The 21,818-nt window shown below is 43.2% G+C and overlaps 1 protein-coding gene and 1 long non-coding RNA gene across 11 annotated transcripts in view, besides 3 other annotated features; one reads left to right on the top strand and one right to left on the bottom strand.

Annotated features, from left to right (window-relative positions):
* The window catches only part of CLYBL (citramalyl-CoA lyase), a 302,755-nt gene that overhangs the window by 82,042 nt on the left and 198,895 nt on the right, over nt 1–21,818 (bottom strand). The window lies entirely within an intron of this gene.
* Nucleotides 1–21,818, top strand: part of CLYBL-AS3 (CLYBL antisense RNA 3) — a 216,296-nt gene that overhangs the window by 129,763 nt on the left and 64,715 nt on the right. The gene's annotated exons all lie outside the window — the stretch shown is intronic.
* Nucleotides 9,375–9,545: a silencer, noted in NCBI's record as "fragment chr13:100470112-100470282 (GRCh37/hg19 assembly coordinates)". NCBI's record gives its function as "represses an EF-1alpha promoter that drives an FKBP-Casp9 reporter gene in an ReSE screen in HepG2 liver carcinoma cells {active_cell/tissue: HepG2}" and the evidence as "EXISTENCE:reporter gene assay evidence [ECO:0000049][PMID:32094911]".
* Nucleotides 17,191–17,690: an enhancer, noted in NCBI's record as "H3K27ac hESC enhancer chr13:100461967-100462466 (GRCh37/hg19 assembly coordinates)". NCBI's record gives its function as "activates a minimal SCP1, AML or CMV promoter by ChIP-STARR-seq in primed H9 embryonic stem cells {active_cell/tissue: H9 hESC(primed)}" and the evidence as "EXISTENCE:reporter gene assay evidence [ECO:0000049][PMID:30033119]".
* Nucleotides 17,691–18,192: an enhancer, noted in NCBI's record as "H3K27ac hESC enhancer chr13:100461465-100461966 (GRCh37/hg19 assembly coordinates)". NCBI's record gives its function as "activates a minimal SCP1, AML or CMV promoter by ChIP-STARR-seq in primed H9 embryonic stem cells {active_cell/tissue: H9 hESC(primed)}" and the evidence as "EXISTENCE:reporter gene assay evidence [ECO:0000049][PMID:30033119]".

The raw sequence follows: 21,818 nt of genomic DNA, 5'->3' as shown, positions 1-21,818 counted from the left end.
TCTTTGGAGGCCATTGACTCACTGGAGGATTACCATTAAGGGACGTCTGCTCAGTGGCGCCAGGTCCTTTCCCCACCCCTCAGGGGCTCCACCCAAGCCAGACAGAAGGGCAGGGCACTAGCTCTGGGAATTAGAGAGGGGAATCGATATGTGTATACGGAACACAGTCACGGACAATTGAAAAGGCTCACACGTAACCCCACTGGGAACTGCTTCCAACTGGAGTCTGTGGTAAATGACTCACGGAACCCAGACCCTGCCTCATCTGCCTGGGAATGGCCAAAGGTGAGCCTTGTAATGTTTGTGATTCAGACTTAAAGTGATTAAAATGTATATGAAGGGTTCCAGAAATGACCCTGGAGATAAAAATAATAACTTAAACAGGGAGGAGCATTTCTCTCCTGAGTGATCTTGGCACCTGGAATTATGAGATGACAACTTTTTCAAGTTTTAGTGTCTTTCAAGGAAAGACACCTTCATTGACACCTAAAGCTTACAACGTGAGTCCCACTGCCTCGGGCCCCGAGACAACTCCAGCTCGGTGGTGTATGGAGATTCCTCGCCAAGGGGCATGTGTTCCAACAGGGCGAGCATCTCAGGGAGTAAGGAGAGGCTGAACAGTGATGAGAACCAAGACAGATATGGGATTAGAATGCAGATGATTTGAACTCCCCACTTCTGATGAGGTAAAATGGATCAAGATTTTTAAAAGATAAAATATGTATCTTAGTTTTATCAAAGCTTAGTAGATTTCAAGATCAGAGTTGGACTATGATTTGGGATTCATTTGCCTGGTTTGTTGTTCCAGTAACACAGTTGGTTTTCCTAGTGAAAAGAAAATGTTTCATTTTCTGGACTGCTGAGAGTTGGATTGCAATAGAGTCAAAGAAAAAGGTAATCTCTGGATAGAGAGCAGCTGTATCAGTCAGGGCTGTCCAGAGAAACAGGATCCATAAGAGATACACAGATACATAGATAGACTTATTTTAAGTAATTGGCTCATGAGACTGTGGATTGACAAGTCTGAAATCTGCAGGACAAGCTGGCAGGCTGAAAACTCAGGTAGGCATTGATGTCATGGTTCTGAGGCAGATTTTCCTTTCCAGGAAACCCCAGTTTTGCTTGTAGGACCTTCAACTAATCAGAGGAAGCCCACTCACCTTATGGAGGGCAACCACCTATACATAAATCAACTGACTGTAGTGTTGACCACACTCACAAAATACCTTCCTTTTAATCAAACATCTAGTGTTTGATTAAATAACCGGGTACTATAGCCTATCTAAGTTGACACTTAAAATTGACCATCACAGTAGCTTTCTTCCAAACTGTGAAGAAATTTAAATACAGGCCTTCAGGCCCTGAAGAGTCTGGCCTTCTCCCTTCTAGAAAGATCCCATAAGCCACTGCCTACCATGTGAGTTACGATATACTGGCAGATCTGTAGCCCTTTGTCCAGTGGGGTGAGGCTGCAGATTCTGCAACTTGTGCGGATGGTGGGCAGAGAGGGGACTGGGAGGCAAACTGAAACAGCGGGCAGGAAGACCCATCCATTTGATGATGTCTATTCGGGTTCTACCAGTGTCCATGAGGGACTTACTACAATCACGGCCAGTGCAGGAATGGCAATCTGTGCCGCCCACCTGCCCAGTTCCTGACACACGTTCTCCCTCACCACATTCTCAGATATTCACTAAGTGTGCCTGTGAGCACGATGTGCTCTCAGCGTGTGCAGAGCCTCAGGAAACAAGATTACCAGTGTGCTGTACTGAGCCAACAAGTCATGGCGTTCTCATCCCAGAGAAGCAGGCCCCCTTCCCCACTAATTACATTCTAAATCCTTCCCTTCATAATCTTTATATTAATAAATGCTTTAAACAGCAGATCATCCCTCATAAAAAAGGGGACTAAGCCAAAGGGGAAAAACTACCTGGAACAAAAGTGTGTCATTTTGATTCTTATCTCTAAGGTCAGCTAATAAGCAACATTTACAGGGCACCTTCTCATTCATGATAAAGGGCATTCACACGCACTTACTTGGTTTTTATCCTTGTAGCAACCCTAGGAGGTAGCTGATATTATTCCCATTTTACAGAGGACGGCACTGAGGCTCAGAGGGGTTAACAGCCTGTCCTGACGTCGTACAGCCATCCGAGGGCCAAGCAAGGATCTTCCACCCCTAGTTCTACCTTGGGCTGCCCAGACTCCCCCAGGGCTTGTTGCTTGTTAAGTGGGCAGCTCAGCCTCTCCAGCCTTACCTTATGGAATTACATGAACATGGCCAGGATCTGCCTGTCCAAGAAACCATGAAGTGACTGTCTGCTTATGGACATCTTTGTTGAAGGTGGCATACCCACAGACGGCCAGGTACCATTTCTTCTCCATGTGTCTTTCTTGGGTGCAGAGAGCTCTATTGGAAATCAGTGGGAGGCCTCTGCCCAATGAAGAGTGGGGGGCAGGGGGTGAGAAGCAGGATGTGAACCTATTCCATAAAGTGAAAAACTGACATCCTAACAAATAATGAGGGAAAAATTCGAGGTTGTTTCCTCAGCTGATCATCACCGGCGGAGCCAACTTTGGATTAAACACTTCTGCTCAGTGGTTTTGACATTCTCAGTCAGGCATATCTTGATGAAATTAGAGATGCAGAAAATATTTTTTGATGGAGTGTGGGGACAAAACAGCTAGGAGGCAAGCCAATTCTGTGTGCAAACTTGTGCAGACTGAGATAAAGAGGAAAAGAAAAGGCAAGACAACAAGGGGTGTGTGCTCGTGTGAGTGTGCGTGTGTGTACATGAAGGAAGATGAAAGCAAGTGACAGAAGAGGAGAGGCAGGCTGGGCTGATACTAATTAATTAGACTTTAAGATCCTGGCAGCAAGAGGTGTGTTTATAAACAATCTTCACTAAAACATACCTTTCCAACTATTAACTGTTTTATTTGCCAGAAATAGTCTCTGCTCTAATTATTCTGTAATTGTTTCAATCCAAAAGTGGGGAGAGAAATACTAACAAGTGACCATAACCATTCTTATGCTATAATACATATCTCTGTACAGAAGTTAACATTTCCCATGCTCAACTAATGAAGTGAGGCCAATTCAAACCAATTCACAAAAGGATTAGCTGGGGGTGGGTGGGGGGGGCTATTAGTCAGAAGGCTTTCAAGCTAGTAGAAAAAATTAGACCAAAAAGAGAAGAAATAATAGAATTCCAACCATTCCGGAATCTCTTGGAAGTATGCTTATGCCAAGCCACCAGCAACCTGACGTTTTTCTACTGGGACTTATTTAAGTCTAGAAAAGCCTGATCTGTGAGGATAAAATAAATATTTCTTGCAGACCTGCCAAATCTTTTTTTACAAAATTATTTCCCATATCTTTTCCAAGGAAGTGACTAGAGGATGTACTCCAGTAAAATGAAGGAATAAACCAAGAAAGAAAAAGACATGAGATCCAATAAGCAAAAGACCCGACTCAGAAATCAGGCAAAAGGACTACCTGGATGACAGAATGGGAAACTACCAGAACGATTTACTGGGCAGTCGGCTCAGATGGAGCAGTGGATGACAACTTGTTGGGGAAAAATAGAACATATAGGTTACTTGATGTATTTAAAGACACTTTACGGCTCTGTTGGAGAGTCCAGTATTGAATTAGTGATAGATACACAGAAAAAAAGCAAATTGAATAGGTGAATGGATAAACAAACTGTGGAACATCCAGACAATGAAATATTCACCAATAAAAAGAAATGAGCTATCAAGCCACATTGGCTATGCCCTTCACATTTAAGGAGGAACCTTAAATGCATATTGCCAAATTTTAAAAGCTAGTCTGAAAATGCTACAGACTGTATGATTCCAATTATATGACATTTTAGAAAAGGCAAAACTATAGAGATCAGTGGTTGCCAGCGGCTCATGGAGGCAGGATGAATTGGTGGAACACAGGGATGCTTTCAGGGTAATGAAAATATCTTGTGTGATCCTGTAATAATGGATACGTGGCATAATGCATTTGTTAAAACCTGTAAACTAGCCAGGTATAGTGGCTTTTTTGCACCTATAGTCTCAGCTACTTGGTAGGCTGAGACAGGAAGATCACTTGAGCCCAGGACTTCAAGACCAGCCTGGGTAATATAGTAAGACCCCATCTCTATTTTTTAAAGAAATTAAGAAAGAAAAGAAACCCATCAACTGTATAACACAAAGAATCGTAATGTAAACTACAGTCCTGAGTAATGAAACATTTTTAAAGAAATAAATAAATTCAAGGCAATTATTAACTTCAGGAAAAACAGTAAAGTAAACATAAGTATACAAATCAAACATGGCTCAGTTGTGAAAATATTTACAAGGTCACTTTAAGTAACATTGAATGTTGATATAATCCCAAAATATATTTATGTTGGAAGGATGAGGAAATGGGAGAAGGGTAAGAGAGCTCAATCCTCATCTTACATAGAAGGAAGTCAGTAGATAATATCTTACATTTAAAAGTCAAGAAATAACAGTCTGACCATACTATCTAGAAATATGGAAGTTAACAGTAAGGAAGTTAAAACAGTTGAAAGTAGTTTCGTCTAGAAAGAAAGACTTGGGGAAGAACAAAGAAGGCTAATTTTCATTATGAGCTTTATTGTAACAGAAAAGAGACCACTAACTCAGCTAGGTTTTCCCAATTCCTCAACACTTTGGGGCACAGTGTTTAGTCAGAGCTGTGATCACTCTCTGAGCACATGGATTGTATCTTAATTTTCATCTCATTGAAAATATGTACCATTTGTCCAAGTGGAAACTGGGCTGAAGCATGACTGTGACCACCACCAAAGAAATGGCTAGACTCGCTAAGGTCTGCTGGGGTGACCCGTGATTGTGTTGTGCTTGATCTTGTTGAGCATGGCTCTTTTAAGTCACCATACCTGCCCCTGCCAATGCACCAAACACCAACTTAAAGGGACTTTCAGCTTTTGTAAGTCAGTCTCAGCCTTACTTCTGAACCATTTCTTTGACTTCTTTCATGACTCTGATCCTGTCCCAGTTTTAAGCCTCCCAGCCACCAGTCATGCTGTTTTGCTCTGCTATTTACATTCTTCTCTACCTACTTTGGACTTGATGGTATGCCTACTATATTAGTTATTTATTGCTGTGTAACAAACCACTCTGAAACATAGTGGCTTACAACCACAACCATTTTATTTTATTATGAAACTGTGGGTCAGAATGTATATTGGCCCATTGGCATGATTCTCCTGCTGGTCTCGCCAGGGGTCACTTATGTGGGTACAGTTATCTGGTGGCTTGACTAGGGCTGGATGATCTAAGATGGCCCTACTGACTTGTCTGAATGGTGGTGCAGACTGTCACTAAGGACCTGTGTCTCCAGTAGGAGAGTCTGGGATCCTAAATTAGGTGGCAGAGTTCCAGACGTGCAAGCCTGCATGTGTTCCACTGGCCAAGCCATGTGGCCTAGTCCAGAATCAGCGTGGGAGGGGACTACAGGAGGGTGTGGAGATGGGAGGCATGAATCACTGGGGTCTACCACAGACATTTTCCTGGTTATACTCTGGGTTCCTGCTTGACATGTGGCTAGCAGCCCTCAAATGGGGACTGGACAGCTCTCTAGAAAATGGATGTGCTATGTTGTTCCCAAGCAGAATGCAAGCTCACTGGGAATTTATTTTTCACTTCTTTATTGCCCATGCAAAGGAGAAAGCAAAGGTGATCAACTTTTTATGAAGAGAACTAAGTCCTCCTGAGTCTGGACTCAATACCATTGGGCTAAGCCAGACCTGTGAGAGCTGGGGAGAAGAGGAGAGCTTTGACCACATATATGTAGTATCTTGGTGTGCCTTGCAACACGCATCAAAATTCCTTGGCTATGCCCTTCACAGACAGCAAAAAGCCTAATTTTCCATCAAAAGAAAAACAAAGAAAAGAAAATTAAGTGTATATTTATCCAATAACAGGAGCAATTTTTGATAAATTGTGACACATCTGTTCATTGGTGTAGTCACAGAATAATGTGAATTAAACCAACTAAATGCCAGGCACGGTTAGGTGCTGGGCATCCAAAGATGAGTACATTAAGTTCCTGATCTTATGATGCTCAAAGCCAAGTCGAGGATACCGATAAATATAGACATCCCTCAGTACCAAAAATCTAACCCATTCCTGAAAATGGTAAGTTTGGATAGTGGGAGCCTGTATTCCATTATTAGGAATAGGACCAAGATTACTGTGTTCCCAGCCCATCCGGAAACCCCAATCAATTCCCTCAAATAATATTAGAAAGCTTAATTGCTTCCACCAAGCAGTTTCTACATCACATAAAGTATTTCTACATCATATAAAGCATTTAAAACACAAATCACCTAATTATTTAACATGGAATGGGCACTCATTGCATTTTGTACACTATAAGATACTGTACAGTAGTAGACACAATTTATGTTTTCCTTCTCTGCCATATTAAACATGTATGGTAATGTACATAAACAATGAAACAACATGCTAAGGATCCTTCTTGGAAGACATTTTCACTTAATAACACAGGATGGACGCTCACGATAATGCACACATTTAAACAACACATGGTGCCATCCCGACCGGAGAACAGCTGAGCTCCTTCCGCTCCTCTAATCTGAGTTCACACGAAACCTAAATGTTTTTCCCAGCACACACATGCAAATTGTCAGAATTTTGATCCAGATGGTGAATTCTGGGTTAAATATTTCTGCAAATTGTTAGAGTGACTACTCCAACGGTGAGAATGTAGATGGTGCAATATTAATCTTGTCCTAAGATTGAGACTGTGAAGCAACATGACAATGATCCCTGCAGAGGGTTACAGGACCAAAGGAGAAAACAAAACTGTCTCAGACAAATACAGCTAGGTAGACATTCTTTGGGTGGGGGTGGGGAGTCGGGGGGAGGTAGGCAAACAGAGTATATGGAAGCAGTCCATTGATTGCTGGGCTGTTACTATGGTAAGTTTCTGAGTGATTGTTTCACTCTTGTTTGTGCAATAAAGACAAAAATTTTTAAATATGAGCATGTACAAAAACAATGGATGCAAATATAAGTGTGAGTGCACGGGAGTGCAGGACCCCCTCACTGCCCCCTAGACACTCCTCAGTGCCTGGGCGGACCGTGTGCAATGTTCACCTTAAAGCCCAGGTGCCTTGCCACCTGACAAGGCAAACTGCCCTTTGACCTCTGAGCTCATGCAGAAGTGTCAGCTCCCTCATCCTATGCTAAGAAACAGACACAGCAGCCTCCGCGAGACACAGCATAGATGGGACAACAGATGGAGAGGGCCCGACACTTGGGGAAAATCACCTGGGTGAGGTCTGCTTTAGGGAAGCTGGGATTCTCTGCAACCAGCAGCCACTGAGTGCAAATGTCCAACTTTATAGGTATAAATCCGTGATGGTTAATTTTATGTGTCAACTTGGCTGGGCTAAGGAATGCCCAGATCACTGGTAAAACATTCCTAGGTATACCTGTGAGGGTGTTTTTGGGAGACATTAGCATTCGAATCAATAGACTAAGTAAAAAAGATCTGCCCTCACCAAGGTGGGCAGGCATCATCCAATCTGTTGAGGGCTTAAATAGAATAAAAAGGTGAGTAGAATGCAAAGGACAAATTCTCGCTCTTCCTGAGTTGGGGCATCTATCTTTTCCTGACTTCAGAGCTCCTGGCTGCGGGGCCTTCAGATCTGGAGACTTACATATGTGGCCTCCCTGGTTCTCAGGCTTTTGGATTCAGATGAATCACACCACCTGCTTTTCTAGGTCTTCCGTTTGCAGACAGCAGATCGCAGAACTTTCCAGCCTCCCTAACCACGTTAGCCAATTCCCATAATAAATCCCCTCTTATATATCTATATATATCCTATTGGTTCTGTCCCCCAGACAACCCTGACAAATATTATATATATATATATATATATATATATATATATATATATATATATATATATAAATTTTTTCCCAGTGATAATACAAGTACTTTGCTCTGTATAGTAGGTGACTGAGGGTCTATTAATTTTTTTTTTGAGACAGGGTTTCACTGTCACCCAGACTGGAGTGCAGTGGCATAATCATAGTTAACTGTAGCCTCAAATTCCTGGGCTCCAGTGATCCTCCTGCCTCAGCCTCCCCAGAAGCTGGAACTACAGGCATGTGCTACCATACCTGGCTAATTTTTTAAAAAATTTTCTTTTGTAGAGATATTATGTTGACCAGGCTGGTTTCAAACTCCTGGCCTCAAGCGATTCTCCCGCCTCAGCCTCCCAAAGTGCTGGAATTACAGGTGTGAGCCACCACGCCTGGCCTATTAAATTTGTGTAATTTAAATTATACCTTGGAAACGTAAGGCACTCAATATATAAAAGTCCCCTTGTAGAGAATTTTTTTGTCTTGATAAGTTGGATTTTCTCAAAGCAGGATATAACAGCAACATCTCACACTTGTTTTAGACAATTACAGTGCATCAGCTTGATGGAATATTAAGCAGTCATTAACATTTATAATTATGAAGACTGTGGAGATGCGGAAAAATGCTTCTGGTGTGCTAAGTGAAAAAGAGCTAATGTAAAATTATATTTAAACTGTTACTGCAACTAAGTACAAACGCCCAGGGAAGGGCTGGAAAAGAACATGGAATAAGGAAAGCTTTTTTACACACACCACATTTCAATCTCAAGTGGATTAAGTGAAGCTTTGTAAAAAGCAAATCCTACATCACAGCTATAGAAACAGAAGAGGTTAAAATGACTTCGCAACACATTTCAGCTCCAGCAGTATGAGTTGTTGTAACAGAGAAACCCCACAATTAAAGAGGATTAGCATAATAGTAGTGCCTTTCCTGTTCATGTCGAATCTGATCAGTGGCAGTGTGGCAGTGTGTGTCCGTGTGTGTGTGTGTGTGTGTGTGTGTGTGTGTGTGTGTTTTCTGCTCCATGTGATCTTCAGGGGTCCTGGCTGCCAGTGGCTTTATCATCTTTAACCCGTAACTCCCACAGTCTTTCTCTATTAACAATCAACCCGAGGACGGAGAAAGAACACAGAGAGTGAAAAGTTTTGTGGGCAGGAGCTAGAAGTAGTAAACATCCTTTCTACTCACATGCTATCAGCCAAAGTGTAATCCTAAGGTGACAGATAACTGCAGAGGAGGGGTGGAAGTAGATCTGTGTGCCAGGAGGAAGAGGAAATGGGTTCTGGTAACCAGCTGACTGATCTCTGCCACATAAGTTCTCATATCTGATCAGAAATAGGGCAAGAATTGGAATCCAGGTCTTTCCTTTTTTTTTTCTCCCTTCCTCCTTCCCTCACTTCTTCCGTCACTTCTTCCCTCCCTCCCTTCCTTCCTTCCTTCTCTTCCTTCCTTCCTTTTGAGACAAGTTCTCACTCTGTCACCCAGGCTGAGTGCAGTGGTGTGATCACAGCTTACTGCAGCCTTGACCTCCCAGGCTCAAGCGATCCTCCTGCCTCAGACTCCCATGTAGCTAAGACTAGAGGTGTGTGCCACCACGCCCGACTAATTTTAAAATTTTTTTGTAGATATGGGGTTTCACCATGTTGCTGAGACTGGTCTTAAACTCCTGGGTTCAAGCAATCCTCCTGCCTTGGCCTCCCGAAGTGCTAGGATTATAGGCATGAGCCACCATGTCCTGCCCAGTGGTTTTTCTTTACTTTAGCTCAGTGCTTTTCTTTTTTCTTTTCTTTTTTTTTTTTTTTTTTTGAGACAGAGTCTCGCTCTGTTGCCCAGGCTGGAGTGCAGTGGCGCCGTCTCTGCTCACTGCAAGCTCTGCCTCCCGGGTTCACGCCATTCTCCTGCCTCAGCCTCCTGAGTAGCTGGGACTACAGGCACCTGCCACCACGCCCGGCTAAGTTTTTGTATTTTTAGTAGAGACGGGGTTTCGTGTTAGCCAGGATGGTCTCAATCTCCTGACCTCGTGATCCGCCCGCCTCGGCCTCCCAAAGTGCTGGGATTACAGGCGTGAGCCACTGCACCCGGCCAGTGCTTAAGTTTTCACATCTTCTCTCTCTTAATCACTTTCCCTCTCCTCCACTCTCCTCCCCTCTCCTTTCGTCTCCTCTCCTCTCGTCTCCTTTCCTCTCCTTTCTCTCTCTCTCATACACACATTAAAGCTAAAGATATATATGTTGAAATCTAAACAGGAGAGTTGTTCTACATCTAAGGACACCCAATTACAATCTAGTCTTCTTTTGAGGAAACACACTACGATCTCAATGAAAATCATTCCTGGGGAAAGAAAGTTAGCAGGGATAAAACCTGGTGATGGAACAAGAGAATCTGGCTAAGAGCTGAATCGGCTGAGAAAGAAGGAGTGAAAGCCTACATAATTACATGGCCTTCACTCACATTTCCGGGGTCATTCGCATCTTTGTCAGGCATTATCCCATGGTTGATGGGTAGCAGGAAGTAAAACCCTATCCGCAGCGCACGTTCAGGCTCCCCACCACTTCCATGAAGCCCCAGCCTGAAGGCACTAGAAAACAGTTGGCATATTTATCTTCTTGGGAGCCTTAGTCCATGTGGGCTTCTATAACAAAATACCATAGACTGGGTGGCTTATAAACAATAAAAATTTCTTTCTCACAGTTCTGGAGGCTGGGAAGTCCAAGATCAAGGCACTGGCAAATTCGGTGTTTGGTGAGGACTTGCTTCCTGGTTCATAGATGGAACTTTCTCACTGTGTCCACCCAGGGCCCAAGGGGCAAGGGAGCTCTGAGGAGCCTCTTTCATATGGGCGCTAGTCCAGTTCATGTGGGCTCCATCTCATGACCTAATCACTCCTCAAAGGCCCCACTTCCAAATACCATCACATTGAGGTTTCAACACATGAATTTGAGGGTGACACATACATTCAGGTCATAGCAGGGCCCATTTTACGAGGCTACTGCCTCATTCTTGGGGTTCTAAGACACTTGCTTGTTTTCAGAGCAATTTCACTGTGCTCCTGACCAGCAAAAGTAAGGGCACAGTCATTGAGAGCCAGTTTCAAGCAAAAACATCCTAAATAGCACATCAAAATATCATTTGGTGGTAAGCTTCAGCATCTTGGAAAACAGATATCTGTCCCAAGGTTGGCATTTTGATGTTAAATCTTCTCATTTGTTAAACAAATGAGTTCAAATCAGAACAAATGACCAAGTCTTATTGGTCTCTGGTGACTGTTGTTTATGCCAAATATAGAAGTTATAGCCAGAGCTTAGACTGGACAATGTGAAAAAGAAAATTGCTATTTCATATTTCTCTGTCCTCTGCCAAATCTAACCAGTGCAATGCCTTGAACATTTGGGCACTTGGTAAATACTAAGTTAGTCATTGCGAATATAATTACTATGTTAAGTTGTTTGACTGGAATTCAGAAACAATTGAAGTATGGATAACTGTACCTATACAAAATGCAGCCAGGCTGCTCTGCTGATAGATCTTTAACAAAAAATTTTAAAATTTTTAATTAAATTTTAGTTAATTATTATTATTTTTGAGACAGGCTCTCACTCCCCGTCACCCAGGCTGGAGTGCAGTGGCGCGATCTTGGCTCACTGCAACCTCTGCCTCTTGGGTTCAAGTGACTCTCCTGCTTCAGCCTCCAGAGTAGCTGAGATTACAGGTGCACACAATCATGCATGGCTAATTTTTGTATTTTTAGTAGAGACGAGGTTTCACCATGTTTGTCTTGAACTCCTGGCCTCAAGTGATCCGCCTGCCTCGGCCTCCCAAAGTATTGGGATTACAGGCCTGAGCCACCGTGCCTGGCCAATTTTTTATTTATTTTTAGAGACAAGGTCTTGCTCTGTCACTCAAGCTGGAATGCGGTGGCGCCATCATCGCCCACTGTGGTCTTGAACTCCTCAGCTCAAGGAATCCTCTGTCCTCAGCCCTGCAAGTAGCTGGACTGCAGGTGCATGCCACCATACCCAGCTATTTATTTTTTCTTTTGCTACATCTGGCTAATTTTTTTCTTTTGGTAGAGATGGAGTCTCGCTATTTTGCCCAGGCTTGCTCTGATAGATCTCTGAGCTTTTCATAGGTCCATCCATCCCCTCATCTACACCATCCCCATGCACCATCCCCACACGCCATTCACAAACACGTACACATGAGTTATATCTTGCAGCACGCAAGGTTTTAGCTCCTTTCCCGGATTTGATTTTTAATCTGCTGTTCTTGGGAATGCAGCTCCCCAGAATTGTTCCACGGAGGGATCCTTTGTCCTGATTAACAGTGGGTTCTGAAGTGCCTCCCCTAGAGGCAGAGTGAGACCATGTGGGGTGTGTTACCTCTGGGACCACTCAAGAAACCTGTGCTTTAAGAGGCCCACCCTGGCTTGCTCTTTGAGATGGGGTCTCAATCTGTTGCCCAAGCTAAGTGTAGTGGTGTGATCATGGCTCACCGCAGTCTTGACCTCCTGGGCTCCATTCTCCTGCCTCAGCTTCCTGAGCAGCTGGGACCCACAGGCATGCACCATTATGCTGGGCTAATTTTTGATTTTTTGTAGAGATGAGGTCTCACTATGTTGCCCAGGCCAGTCTCAAACTTTTGGACTCAAGCAATCCTCCTGCCTCAGCCTCCCAAAGTGCTGGGATTATAGGCTTTAGCCACCACGCCCAGACTCCTTTTTTTTTTTTTTTTCTGAGACAGGGTCTTGTTCTGTTGCCCAGTCTGGAATACAGTGGTGTGCTCACAGTTTACTGCAGCCTTGACCTCCTAGGTTCAAGCAGTCCTCCTGTCTCAGCCTCCCAAGTGGCTGGGGCCACAGGTGAATGCTACTATGCCTGGCTAGTTTTTTAATTTTTTTGCAGAGAAGGGATCTCTCTCACCATGTTGCCCAGGCCGGTCTCAAACTCCTGGGCTCAAGCGATCCTCTTGCCTTGGCCTCCCAAAGTGCAGGAATTACAATTATAAGCCACTGTGTCTGGTCTTCTCCCTATTTTTTGTTTCCATGTTCAAAGGGGCAAACAATGCTTTTGGGAAAACTCTAGGAGGTTAAGTTCCCATGCCCTGAATTCAGTCTCTGTTTCTGACTACATGATCTTGGGTGAGTTCTTTGATTTTTCAGTGGGTTTACCAGCCCTTGAACCTGGGCTTGTTGTAAACTATAATATCTATACCATGAGGAGAGGGGAATGGCAATTTAAAAGCAGGTATCGGAATTCTTTAGGGAGAGAATTGTCTTTTTGAAAATGTCATTGTAATAATCATCTTCAATATAATTTGTATAGAAAAACTTAGGGTGGAAAGAATGATCTTCTGTTCAGTTAAAACAAGAAAACAAACAAAACCTTGTTGGGCCACTTGTGAGTGGAAAGAGAGCCCTCAGAGTAAGGCTGGAAAGGATTAGTGAAAGAAACCAAATTTCTGTGCAAAATGAAGTAGGAAGAATGAAGAGGCTTTGGCAGTTGGAGAAGGAAAGGGAGAGGGAGTTCAGAGTCCAGAAAGGTGGCAGGACTTTGGTCCACGGGGATGGCCTATGGACTTTTCCATTTTAAGTAGCTTATTGGGCTATGATGTGATTCTCAGAGGCAGAAGGACTTGCGGACGGCAACGTATCCAACATCTAGTTTACAGGGAAGGCATATGGAGCACTTATATATAAGTATATATATACAGTACTACTGTCAGGCATTACGTTAAGCATTTTACATGCATATTCTGATTTAATCCTCATATCCACTCTGTGTGACAAGCCTGTCGCTATCCCCATTTTACAGATGAAGACACCGAAGCTTGCTGAAGTCAGTTAGTTAGTGGTAAGTTAGTAAGTGGTAAGTGGTTAGTCAGTAAGTTAGTGGCAGAGGCAGAGCCCAAATCTGAGTTTGACTGACTCCAAAGTCTATCCTGTTAGTCACTACAGCACACTGTCCCCATGAACACTGAAGATTGCAGTACCAAGCTACTGAGCAGAAATTATTTGTGGTTTACTAATTAAGGGCAATAAAAGCACCCCAGAAATGCAAAGTACTAAATAAATACTAGTATTACTGTTCTTGCACTTGACCCCTGACATGTGAAGACGGCACTGTCATCTAAAATGGAAACGTGAAAGCCAGAAAGGGCTTATTAATGTCAGATGCAAATGATATGTTTAGATACTCATGTTTGCATTCCACTGGATATTTCTATTCCAAGGGCCATGTTCTCAGGCATGGGACCCCCATTAAGGTCAGGATCATTTGCAAATCTAGAAAAAAATACGGCAGTATCATTTCATTTTTTTTTCCTGAGACAAAAATAAAAATGGTTCACCATTTTGGTGCAGAATTTTAAAGCAAAAATCATGGTGTTTCTAACTATTCCAGATTAAAGAAGAAGAAATTATAGCCTTTCATTCTCCTAGCAGGATGTAACTAAGGTTTAGATGAGTGAACAGATGCATGCAAAAATCAGCCACGCGCATAGAAAACATTCATTTTCACAATCTGGTAAATCTGCTAGGTATGCAGGAAATGGAGCCAAATCAATTTCAGCAGTATGTGATATCACAGCTTTGGCATGACAGGGCCCCCCCTTGGCCCCACTTGTCTCCAGGGCTGCTACCATCCAGAGGCTGGGTATTGGTCACTCAGCACCCAAGGATCTGAGTAGTTCCATAACTGGTGACATGAGTCACCCCAGTTAACCGGCTGGTGTTACTTCCATCTCCAGTCAGGGTCCAGCACGTGATTACGCTTTTCCTTTTCCCACTTCATGTGGAAAAGAGACCTTTTCTGAGCTTCTTGCTCCCTGGTCCTTTATCCCTCCTATAGGGAGGTCATAGAACACAGAAATCTGAAAACCGGAAGTGTGTGTAGAAATCATCTTGTCCCATTCTTTCATTTTATGGATGAGGTCCAGGGAGGAGAAAAGTCCTGCCCAAGGCCACAGGGGCATTTAATACTGGCCCAGCCACCTTCTGATTCCCAAACCCATGTTTTCCTCACTGCAGGCTGTCTCCATTGGAAACTGTACTCAGACTACACAGAAGGGAATTATGTAATTCTGTAACCCCAAACATCTATATGTCTATAAAATATTTATAGTGCAAAGGGTTCTATTGAGTCTTCTCTGGGATTTCTTGTTTTTCTACTGGACTGTGAGTCCTCAAACCCATAACAATAGGAGTGTGCAATCCCTTGTTAGAAAACTCTAGACAAATGTGTTTTGGACTTAAGAAGTTTTTGGACTTTAAAATGGTTAGATGGCACCTAGACAGTCTATTTAATATCTCCCCTCCCCAAAACCTGGAGCAAAATGTAGGAACAGTCACACTATGAGGAAGAAGTCTCAGTCTCACAGCAGTTTAGGTCAGGCTTTGCTGCCCAATATGTCGGCTGCAAACTTAATAATAAAACTTTTGATTTTCAGCTTTTTGGATTTTGGAATAGTGGATACAGGATTGTGGATTCATGCTACTCTCTTCATATGGGAGGCATTAAATAAATATCAGTGACTAGTTGGCTGGTATTGCTTTATCAATAAGAAGGGTGGTTTTTCCTGAAACTTGTCAAGACTTGTATTTCTCTGTAGATTTCAGTTATTCCAGTTGCCTCTCAGTCGGTTATATTCCAGATAACAAAATGGAATAGCCCCCAGGGAACTGGGTTCAGAAGCTGAGTGCCCTGTTTGTTTCGTGGATTTTTCATAAAACAAATCCAGCCAGGATCATCAGAGGGGCGGGCTGCTTTAGGAGGCAGCTGGAGGTCGTGTGGGGACTGGCAGTGGCACCTGTCCTCCTGGGCGTCAGTAAAAGCAATGCAGAGAGCTCCTGCCACCAGGTCCCCAATGGGCAACTGATCCCGCCTGCCATTTCTGGGCTTTCTCTGGCTCCAGCCGCTTCTCAGCTTCCTCCTTCTCATCAGATGGGCAGGTTTCCAGAGCTGTCAGATTTTCTTCTGCCCAAGTTAACAGGGACATTGATTTTGGAGGAAGGGAGGCCCTTCCTCCCACCCCCATCCTTCCCTGGCTCCTGGCTGAGCCACGCCAGCTCTGTGGCATTGTCCGGTTTTATTATTACTGCCTGGCTGAGGCCTCCCTTCCCAGGTGGCCCCTGTGGCTTCCAGCCCCTCTCCACTTGGCATGTTGACATGCATTTTTGGTCTCCTAGGGAGAGCCTGCTTACCTGGATAATGGGCACTTGACCCCCTGGTTTCCAAAGTGGGCTTCTGTACCACAGTGGGACTTGCATCTGTTTTTATTGTTTTCTGGACTGTCACCAGGAGGGAGTCCTATAAACGTAACCTTGCTTGGCTGGCTTTGGGATTGATGGAAATCAGGTCACTTTGGGGGTTCTAATGGGCCTGGAGGTATGGGTTTTAGAGTGGCACCACAGGGTCCACTGTGTGTGTGGAAGAGGTCTTTGCTCCTTCAGAACCGGAACGTGGCTCTCCTAAAATTTTTTATCTGCCATGGGATTGTAGGCTTCTGTTTCTTTGTAAACTTTCTTAGGAAGGAGAAGAGAACGGAATTTTGCTTAGAAAACTGGAATGGTCTTCTAAGAAAAAGAACCCACTTCTGCCTTTTGGAGCTGACAGGAGGGCTACGTTTGGAGGGGAAGGAGGGAAGGAAGGAAAGGGAATTCAGTCTCTGATGTCCTCTGTCTTCCTCATCACCCTCCACTCTTCTCATTGACCATGGTGATGGCCTCCCCGTCCACACCTGCCCAGCTCAAATCCATTCTGCTGCATTCAGAATGCTATTTTGCAAGACACATATCTCTGCTGCTTGAAACCCTTAGTAGCCTTCCATTACCCTTAGAATACATCTAAAATCCTCACTGCAGTCCAAGTCCAGGATCACCAGGCCCCTGCCTTCCTCTCTAGGCTCATCCTGCATGACCCTGGGCTCTGGCCGCTCCAGCCAAGCTTCGCTTCTCACAGTTTCTTGGCAGTGCCCAGCTTCTTGTCACCCCTCGGCTTTGGCATGTGCCTCCCCCTCCACCCACAGCCTCTCTCTCTGCTCCACTCCCCACTGTACCCCACACTTTGTCTAGTTACCTCCTCTCCATCCTTCAGCTCCTAGTTCAAATGGCATTTCCACAGGGATTCCCTCTCTCCACCCTGGAGTCCTGTTTTACACTCTCTTGTATTTTCTCTTCCCATCACATAGGACAGTTCACAACCAAACATTGATGTGAGTGGCCACTGGAATGATGTATGTCTGTCTCACCAGCCATAAGCCCGGAGAGGAGAGGAGCTACACTTACTTTCCCCACCTCTGTCACCTCTAGTGATAGCCTTGTGTTGCCACAAAGTGGTTTCTCAATCATTATTTGATGAGTTACCGAGTTAATCATTTATCTAGCTAGTATGACTTCACCAACAATGTAACTCCCATGTGATAATAATAAAAAAATCCTCCTATGCTATTCTAATGTAGAATGGACATTTCCACTTGCCAGCAAAACTTGGGCATAGGTTATTCTTGAGCGTTTTGAGCTAGTCGGGATGGATGAGCTGATGTCCCCATTCCCTGGGGACAAGTCTGCTTGGTGGCTTCATCCAGCTTCATGTTTCTCTCCTGAAGTTCCTTCAGGCTCTCTCACTGGCAGACTGGCATGTCTTCCCGAGTTGGCCAAGAGGAACATGTCACATTGGCAATAATGTCAGCAGACTCTGAGGCCACTAAGGAGAGCAGCAAGTGAAGGCCGGGAGGGAGCCTTGGAAGGCAGCTCATTACCAGAGGCGCCAGCCGTCACACCCTCGATGGAAGGGCATAATTGCTGAAAACAGCTAATCGCTAACAGCGTGACAGCCAAGGGGCCTGCAGCCATCCCTTTCTTCGCTTCAGGATCCATTCCCCCATGAGGGGAAAGGTGCCAAAAGAGGAAGCCAGGCAGGAAGACACAGCTCTGTCTCACAGAAGGGGAATGCCTTCCCCCAACTTTCACAAGACACTTTGGGAACCCTCTCTTCATTTATTACCAAGCTTGAAATCTTGATGCTGCCATCCAAATGAAGTGCCTCTGGACTTCAGACATAGAACCTTGAGCCCACCATCGGAGAGGGTGGTCTTCCACATGACACTGGTCATGCACAGAAGGGAGGCTCCCAGAAGTAACATTTTGTGTTCAGGAGAGTTATGCAGGCAAACAAGGACTGAACACCCCTTGTGTAGATACTCTTGAATACAGTTCTACAGGACGATTAAAATAAATAATACTCCCCATAATTTATTTGTTAAATTATATTTATTATAAATATAGTAATTCATTAAAATAAGTGGATGGCTTCATTTAGCAAATGTCCAAATAGATATCAAAATGGAAATTGTCATAGGAAGCTGGGAGGTGTGTGTCTAAACAATTAACAAGCATATAGTACCAGGGTAAATTCAAGAATTTCTTTTCCCCCACCCCACCTCCCCCAGCCATCTGACAAGTGTCTTGTGTGTGTGTCCAGCTGTGCTAGATGCTCAGGACGTGAACTTGCTTGTGGCCTTAAGGAGCTTACATACTCATGGGAGAAACCCACAAATAAGTCAGCAACTGTACTTTAGAATAGGAAGGACCAGGATCAGAGCTGTCAATGTGAAATTTGATGTATGAAGGCAGCTTTTCAACATGGAAAAGATCATGTGGGTTACTTTGGTTTTTAAGTTAATATTAAATTCATTAAAATTACCAATTCAAAAATTCACCTGCCTTAGGCCTTTGTCCTCCACCTCCAATGTTATCATTCTATTTATAAACAAAATTGATTACTTCAGGTTGAATATATCTAAACAAGTTGAAACCTCAATTGGCACCATTTACGACTTTATTAAATTCCCTTAAACTTTCAAAACTATATTCATGAATTTAATACAGTCATTTTCTTGTCCTTCAAAAGCTCAATCTAACAAGAAAAACCTCAAATATTTCAACACTGCTTTTAAGTCTATAATTTTTTTTTAAGTCTATAAATTATAGTATTATCTCCGGTGACTAAAGTTGCTTATGGGCCAGATATCTTCTCCAGCACAAAGGGCTCAGGTGACCGTTCCTCTACAAGAGGATCCTAGGCCAGACACAGTAGCTCACACCTAAAACCTCAGCACTTTGGGAGGCCGAGGCAGGCTGATCGCCTGAGCCCAGGAGTTTGAGACCAGTCTGGGCAACACAGCAGTACTCCATCTCTACAAAAATGCAAAAAATGAGCCTGGAGTGGGGGTGTGGGCCTGTGGTCCCAGCTACTCAGGAGGCTGAGGCAGGAGAATTGCTTGAGCCCAGGCGGTCCACGCTGCAGTGAGCTGTGATTGCGCCACTGCACTCAAGCCTGGGTGACAGAGTGAGACCCCATTTCAAAAACAAACAAACAAACAACAACAAAAACAAAAACAAAAACCAAGAGGATCCTGAACCTTCCCAAGGTTGCCATGACCACAGGGAACTTCAGGTTCATATGCTTTGAACAGAGTTGGTTTTCTTGGGTCTAAACTACAATCTATCCTAATTCTTTCCTCCGCTTTGAGGAGGAACCTTCTCTCACAAGTTGCTGCTAATTTTTAAAAAATTCTTTTAACTCTTCTCATATTCTTCATATCCTAGATTAGGCCCAAGTTATTTTTCTTTTTCCTTTTTAAAAAATATTTTATTATGGTGAAACATACCTAACATAAAATTTACTGTTTTAAACCCTTTAGAGTGTACACTGGCAGTAAGTACATTTATCTTATTGTGCAACCATCACCACCGTCCATCACCAGAACATTTTTCCTCTTCCTACACTCCCCGTTCCTCCTTCCCCCCCGGCCCCTGGAAACTGTCTTTCTCCTTTCTCTATGAATCTGATGATTCTAGTACCTCATGTAAGTGGAATTATACAGGATTTGTCCTTTTGTGACTGGCTTATTTCACTCAGCGTAATATTCTCAGGGTTCATCCATGTTGTAGCATGTATCAGAAGATCTTTCCTTTTTAAAAACAAAGACACCGCATTTTGTTTGCCCGTTCATCTGTGAGCGGGCACCTAGGTTGCTTCGACCTTTTGGCTACAGTGAATAATGCTGCCAGGAACATGGGTGTGCTGGCTCTCAATCCTTATGGATAACTGAATACCAGCCAGTGGATTCTGCGTCAAATCAGACCTTCGTGGCTTAGTCATGCACATGCGGGGAGACACATCTCAGTGAGAAAGCATAAAGAACGCACCTATCAACTACTAAGTTCTGAATAGATGTGGACCGGACTTTCTGCCCCTTCTTGCTCTATCTGAGGAGAAATCAGTGGGTTGTGGTTTGCAGCTGCAGCAGGAGCCACAGGAATTAGCAGTGAAGGTTGAACTGGCTGGAGACAGGAGGCTACTTTCCTCCTTGAATACCATTGCGAATGGGGTAGCCCTACCTCAACAATCTTGTGTGAACACCAGCTCTAACTGGAAGCACTAGGGTAGCTCTAATAGGGTCTCTGTACATCCTTCCACCCCTGCAAGTCCACTGTTGATCATCCGTCCACATAACACGAGAATGTAGACACAGCCATCTGGAGTTAAAATGCTGTTTAGTCTGACCAGATCACACCCATGTGTGAACCAGATGGCAGGCCTTGCCCTGAACAAACTCCACTGCCCTTACTTCCAACTCCCAGCAGCTCAACTACCCAAGGGTAAGAGGTAATACAACAGAAGATTTAGAATATGGTAAGAGGAGGAAAAATCAGACGAATGGCTCTACATAATAACAGTGAAGATATCTAATCTTTACGGAGCATATTCCATGTGCCAGGCATTGTGCTGAAGTGGTTCAGACACATTACCTCATTTGACCTCTGAAATAATCTAATGAAGTAGGTACTATGGTTGTTTCTGATTTCAAAGATCAGAAATCTGAGGCTTAACAAAATGAAATATTAACTTGCCCAAGATTAAGGAAGTAACAAAAGTAAGAACTGAATCTACCTTTGCTTCTGGTGTTTGGTCTTAATTACAATGCAATACTTCTAGGGTCATCCAACAGATAACTGGGTAAAAGGTGTAATGAGACAAAATACATATGAAACACAGTTACTAAGCATATGGAAACCATGCAATTAATTTTAAAAACTAATTAAGGCAACAATTAAGTATACTTATATATATACTAAGTAATAAAACAAAGTTAAAAGTAATACTTAATGTGGAGACACTGGTATACTCCAGTATTGCTGTTGAAAATGTATTATCAATCTTCAAAAAATCACTTTTGAAACATCCCTTTTATAAAACACTTCAGCAGTGTATAACAAAATTCACAAAAATGTTTGTACCCATTGATTTGGTAATTCCAGTCCTAGAAATGCATTCTAAAGAAATAAGTATAAGAGGAAAAAAGTTATGTACATGAAACTCTTTATTGCTAAAATTATAAAATCTTGTTATAAAACAATTATAAAATTATAGTGAAAAACTGAAGACAATCTAAATATTCAATGGTAGGGGAATAGTTAACTGAATTGAAGTGAAATCATTAGATGCATACTATACATCTGTTAAAATAATAAATACAAAGATCTCTGTAGCAATTTAAAAAGTAGAAAATGAAATGACAACAACGCAACCATGTAAAAATTATGGCTGCAAAGGGAGCAAAGGAAAATAGGGCAGTACTGAGGTGAATTTTGTGTGAGCTTGGTGGATTCAGAATTATTTCTTCCCTCTTAAAGATATTCTTCATTGCTTTTAAAAGCAATAAAAATTAAAAATGTTAAGTACCTGACAAGACTTGTCCATAAAAATAAGGGCACCTGCTGAGTTGTTTTGATGATTAAATAAGTTAATGGATGCAAAAGCACCTCGAAATAATCCCTGCAGGCACTCAGTAGCTCTCCCTCTGAGTCCCCTCCCCC

The sequence above is a fragment of the Homo sapiens genome, chromosome 13 (genome assembly GCF_000001405.40).
Source record: "Homo sapiens chromosome 13, GRCh38.p14 Primary Assembly".
Classification (NCBI taxonomy): Eukaryota; Metazoa; Chordata; class Mammalia; order Primates; family Hominidae; genus Homo; species Homo sapiens.
The sequence above is the reverse complement of the archived record's forward strand: the minus strand, read 5'-3'. Positions and strand labels throughout refer to the sequence as shown.